Source organism: Homo sapiens, chromosome 5, assembly GCF_000001405.40.
Source record: "Homo sapiens chromosome 5, GRCh38.p14 Primary Assembly".
In the NCBI taxonomy this organism is placed as follows: domain Eukaryota; kingdom Metazoa; phylum Chordata; class Mammalia; order Primates; family Hominidae; genus Homo; species Homo sapiens.
In genome coordinates, this window is record NC_000005.10 from 29933979 (window position 1) to 29940339 (window position 6361).

The 6361-nt window shown below is 34.6% G+C and overlaps 1 annotated feature.

The window, feature by feature from the left end:
- Positions 1491–1691: a silencer, noted in NCBI's record as "peak5216 fragment used in MPRA reporter construct". NCBI's record gives its function as "represses an SCP1 promoter by STARR-seq MPRAs in K562 erythroleukemia cells {active_cell/tissue: K562}" and the evidence as "EXISTENCE:reporter gene assay evidence [ECO:0000049][PMID:32103011]".

The following is a 6361-nucleotide window of genomic DNA, read 5'->3' on the forward strand; positions in this document are numbered from 1 at the left end:
TACCTTTTTTATACCATATAAAAAGATATTGTCAAAGTATAGAAACTTAAATGTATGTTAAACAATTAAAGTTTCAGTATTTTTACATACTTAGGAATGACTCAGACATTTTATAATTATATATCACTTAATTTAACGTAACATGACCTTAACTTTTTAAATTATTGAAAAAGAATTTTGAAACTATTATACAGGTCCTCTCTCTAACGTCTTCTCCAGTTGCCTGGCGTCTCAAGTTTCTATGGGGCACCGTAGGATGGCTATAAAGAGCAAGGCCCATCTGGGTCCTAATTTATACACCAAGTTTAGAGCCCAGGACAGAGAATAGCATCGTGATGAGGATGTCTGTAGGATCAGGCTCCTTCTACCATGACCAGGAGGCAAAATGGGCCAGGGAGAAATGGGTCATATGAGGCTTGATTCTGGCTTTTAGCCGGTGAGATGCTGAGCATTTTCCCCCAGGCCTTACCATGTTTACCCATCCAGATTCCAGAATCTATAGGCTCAAATTCTATGTTATAAGCTCACAGATAAATTGAGCAAATATTTTAAAAATTATATAAATATTACAGTTGTATCACCTTAAAACATCTATAAGAGACAGTATCAACTTGCTTAACCAATAGACACAGGCAAAAATGTCTAAATTTAATTATGAAGTTGTTTCTATTTATTTTACCAACAATTTAAAAATGACCTTTATTTGCCAAGGATAACTAATGTCACATAAACATGAAAATCATTTGGCTAGTTATTTAATTTATTAGTAGTCTTTTTATTATAAGCCAGTTTGGGGCCCTAGAAAATATAAAAGCAAACATGCATGCACATGTATACACAAAAATAAAGACAGATATAAGTAAAGAGCTTATAGTTTTAGTTTCAAAATTTTAGCCGCAAGTCGGGTAAAACTCATTAGTTTAAAAGGATAGGTGGATTTCAACTGTGCCTGTGTAAATGAAAAAAAAAAACAAAAAACAAAAAACATGGCTGAAAACTTTACTGAGTTTTAGAGAAACAGGGTAGCAAATTTACATCTCCAAGAAGAGAGAGAGAGACAGAGAATTTAGGATTTTTTCAGGAAGGCATTTGGGTGTATCGGAGGAGGATTAAAAATAGATGTCAAGGTAACACAAAATCATAGAAATTTACCATAGGACTTTATAAGGAGACCAATCTAACATGCATAGGTAGCTTTTAATTCAGTGTCTGTTTTGCAAGCTGACCACTGAGCTCAAGGTTGCTCTTCATTAAAGAACAGATCCAACAAACCATTTGCAGTTTTTAGGGTCTAGTAGTTTAAATATGTGAAAAGCAGGCACAGTTGGAAGGCAGAATATTTAGATTTTTAAAAATCAAAGATTTTACTTTTACACAAAATCCCTTGTCCCCCAAAACAGGGAAAAGTCATGGGCCTGGGCTGCACAATACATTCGCAGTACACTTTACTACAAGGTCATTTCTCTAAGGGTTTAAATCATACATTTCTCATCTAAATGTACAAATAAATGAGTAGCCCTCTGTACTAATAACTATTTATTATAAACAATGGCCCTCAGACACCTCCAAAAGTGCAGTTCTCACCAGTGACTCACCAGCCCTCATACACAGGAAGGTCAACTTCTATTTCTCAGTACAAAGTAATCTCTGATAACCTCAAAAGCCAAAAAGATAAAGTAAAGCAATCCAAAAGAAAGTTTAGTTTTAGACTTGAGAGAAATGTGTCCAGGACTCTTTAGACTCCACTGACAGATCTCAAAAAGGAGTCATTGGTGCATTTTCTGTGTTTCATAAGGAGTCTGCATTATTAGATGTCCATCCTAGTACCTTTAATATAGTACAGAATATGGCGAGGAGGAAGAAAGAGTAGGGAGGAGTAGAAGTAAATGAGAGAACCAACATTTCCTTTTTTTTTTTTTTGGACAGGGTGTCTCCCAAGCTGGAGTACAGTGGTGAAATAATAGCTCACTGAAGCTTCGAACTCTCAGGCTCAGGTTATCCTACCGTCTCAGCCTCCTGAGTGACTGGGACTATAGGTATGATGCACCACCATGTCTGGCAAACTTCTTATATGTGTTTTTGTAGAGAGGAGGATTTGCCAGGTTGCCCAAGCTGGTTTTGAACTCCTCGGCTCAAGCAATCCTCCTGCCTCAGCCTTCCAAAGTATTGTGATTACAGGCGTGAGCCACTTCCTCGGCAAAAGAACAATTAGAGAAATTAGAGAACAATTCTTTTTTTTTTTTTTTTTTTTTTTGAGACAGAGTCTCACTCCGTTGCCCAGGCTGGAGTGCAATGGTGCAATCTCAGCTCACTGTAACCTCTGCCTCCCAGGTTCAAGCGATTCTCCTGCCTCAGCCTCCGAGTAGCTGGGATTACAGGCATATGCCACCATGCCCGGCTAATTTTTTGTATTTTTAGTAGAGACAGAGTTTCATCATGTTGGCCAGGCTGGTCTCGAACTCCTGACCTCAAGTGATCTGCCCGCCTCGGCCTCCCGAAGTGCTGGGATTACAGGCGAGAGCCACTGCACCTGGCCCTGAGAACAATTCTTGAGAAAGAAAGTGAACAGAGGGCTCAAGCACATAATTAAAAAAGGATTTCAGTCCACTGGAAAAAAAATCCAAAAACAGGATCCAAAGGAAAAAAAAAAGATACACCTTTAAATATATATATATATTCAATATACATATATCTTATATTTTTATATATCAAGATATATCTATACATCTAAATAGATATATAGATGTATAGATATAGCTTGAATACCAGCTTGTACATATATTTATTCAAGATATATATATATATACACACACACACAATGTATCTTATATCTTGAGTATCAGCTTTCAATTAAGCTGACTTTTCATCATAGAGTTCTTTAAAACAAAATCCTTTCAAATCTCTTATTATCACAGTTTAGTTGAGACAAACACTGACATTTCTGGGTTTTTGGTGTATACTTTTCCAAAAGCAGTATCTCACAATGTCAAGCATTACACAAATATCGAACTAGAAGGAACAAGTTCCCTGACCAGAAATTGAACCCAGGCCATGGCTATGATATTGCCAAATCCTAGTCACTAGATTACAGGGTGAAGTGCCATTTTTTCCCCTTCATTTTTATTTATTTTTTATTCTTTGTAGATTTTGCATAGGATCCAAACCTGGCAGCTTGAACATTTAAAGGATTTTAACTTATTTCAGATCTGATCTCGGCTAGAATGCTGCTTAGCTAATTTCCTGGATGTTAGCATTTCAACATCTGTGTAAGTCATTAGTCCTGATTTAGAAAAAAATTTTTGCTCTGCATTTTTATAATCTCAATAGTTTTATTTTCATTTATGTCCCCCTTTTAGACTATTAATTGTTTAATTACCTGTCTTACTGCCCTAAGCAATTGTCAGCTAGACAATGAAGGTGTATTTTGGAGACCCATTTTGTTCATTGGGTAGTCTTTCTAATTGAGCAAAGAATGGCGTGACAATCAGGTAGTCCCCAGAACCATAAGAAGTTTGTAGCAACTCTGGGACTACCACAATAGTGTCAGAGAGGGAAACAAAGACCTGGGTAATGACATCCAGGTAGTGGTGAGAGATATCTTTTGTTTACCTCCTAAATGGAAGCAATTTTCTCAGGATTTGTAAAGTGCATGCCCCTTCACTTTCTGCCATGATTTTAAGTTTCCTGAAGCCTTCCCAGCCATACTTCCTGGACAGCCTATGGAACTGTGTGCCTATTACATTCTTTTCTTTATAAATTACCCAGCCTCAGGTAGTTCTTTATAGCAATGCAAGAATGGACTAATACAGCTGGTGTGGATAAATCTAACACATTTTGAAGTAGAACTCAGACATCGTTGAAAGATAAAAATGTTTTGTTCATTATATCTACACTATAGCATTTTATCCTTTGGCCAGTAAGTAATTACATTTTATATTTTAATATGTAAAATACTGTTCTGACCACCAATATATGGGCTATTGATTCTGTTATTGTAATTATTTAATTAAAATGGGCTTGCTAATTTTATAAACATCTCTGCCTTTTATCAACAATCCATTTGAATTTATTGTATTAGGAACATTTTTAAAAAAATCTTGGTGACATAGAGCTAGAGCCTTGGTGAACGTATCAGAAATTAGAAAGTACATCTGGTGCACATTCTCAAAAAGGGCATTTGGGGCTAATTATTTTTTAAAAAGAGTGCCAATTTTATCAAACACATACAAAAGAAAAGCTATTATGTTTATATTTTCCTTTACTTATTACCTTTATTTGGTTTGTTTATAGAAAGAGATAATTGATTCCAGTGGATGTGTAAGACTAACCTAGACATACGATCCTTCCTTTATTTATTCCTTAAATAACTGCTTTTGGATAAACTATGATATTTCAAAATCCTCATTATGAAAATATTAGGATGAAAATTCAAGTGGCTCAAAGATTCAAAGGTCTAGAGCACCTCACACCTTATTGTTACTCCCCTGAAATTTCACTTAAAATTTTAGATTTGTATTATTTCTACAGTCTGGGGAAAAGATTCCATGTTGTTTCCCATAATAATCCCTCCTGATTAAAAACTATCCTCATGGGTATGGGCAGGACCTGTGATTTGCTTTTAATTAATACATTTACTGGCGAGGGGATATCAGTCCCATGATTATGTTATATTAGATAAAAGTGTGTCTTGCTATCAGGTGCTGACTAGAGATTCTCCTTGTTGGTATGATCATGTCAAAGGCCATGATGGGAAATCCACATGGCAAGAAACTGCAGGTAGTCTCTAGAAATGGAAGACAGCCTGTAGGAGTTGAGAGGGTTATCTCTAGACTACAGTGACAAAGAAGTGGGGCCTCAGTCTTCCAGCATCAATAAAACAAATTTTGCCAACAAACTGAGTGAGAAGGGAGCTGACCCTTACCCATTCAAATCTTCAGATGAGATCCCTGCCCTGGCCAACATCTTGATCAGAGCTTTGCTAAGCCATGACCAGCCAACTGGACTACAGAAACTATGAAATAATAACTGCTTTTGGTATAATCCACTAAGTTTGCGGTAAATTGTTAAAGAGGAAGAGATAACTGATAACATGTAATTTATTGGAATATTTTTATGCATGCATCATTGAACTAAATGATGTTAACAATTTGTTAAAGGTCTCTGTAAAATGTTTAATATAAGATTTTGAGAATAGAACCACCTCTCTTTTATAGGGTAGTATAGTCGTTCTTTCTGACATACTTTTTGAGCTGTTTGTTGACTTTACAAAGAATATTGAAAATGCTAATAGTAAGTATTTTTGCTTGAATTCTAAACAGCTGGCTGCATTAACAATTGGAATGAAATTGAAATTGATTTAAGTTAGATTTGAGAGATTCTTAAAATTTCAAAAGCCTCTAAAATTATATTGATTAATAATTAATTTTTTTAGTTTTATAATTAAGGTTGACATTTAGTAAGATTTTTCAGAAGTGCTACCCTTGAGTATATATAAATTTAAATATATGTAACCATTTAATTAACTTTATGCACTTCCTAGTGAGCTTTGCCTTCCTCTTACTTCAATAATGTCCAAAATAAGATATTTGTATTCCCAAATTATAATAAATGTCTTATCTTTATTTGATAATGCTTCATATCTCATTTGGATCACCTCATAATTAAAGCCAAAATATGTTTTAAGATTCTAATGTTTTTCTACTCTCCTTAATATAATCTTCAATTTAGCAATATTGTATGAATGGATACTAGTATATATCTAATATATACAGCCACATTTCTTAGTTGACTAATCATTGTCCATTAAACTTGTAAAAATTATTGGAAACATAAATATTTGATAATTATATAATTAAGTATATAAATGCATAATAAGTTATATTTCTATAACAGTTTAGACTTTATAAAACACTTTTAAGTCATTCAAATTCTGAGTCGCATGAGGCCTCTGTGAGATAAATATATTTATAACAATCTTCACTCCATCTATGTGGGGACAGCAGATAGAGTAGAAAGAGGGAATGAACAAATAGAGTAAGCATATATTAGGGACTTGGCACAATGTTGTACAACTGAAGAAACCAAAAAATTGAAAGTTGTCCAAGTCATGAATAATTAATATTTGATTAATTCTGAGTTTTAATTCTCTGTTTTTTCCATCCCTTCTTTGTATAGTTCTGATTGCCTTGCCTGAGGGTATTTCCCCATCTATGATTTACTGGGCTACAGAACCTGCCATCACTAAAATTAGCTAAAGCGTATAAACCACAACAGCTGATACTTGAACAATGTGGGAGTTAGAAGTGCTGGTCTCCCATATGGTAAAAAAATATATATATGTATAACTTTTGACTCCTCCCAA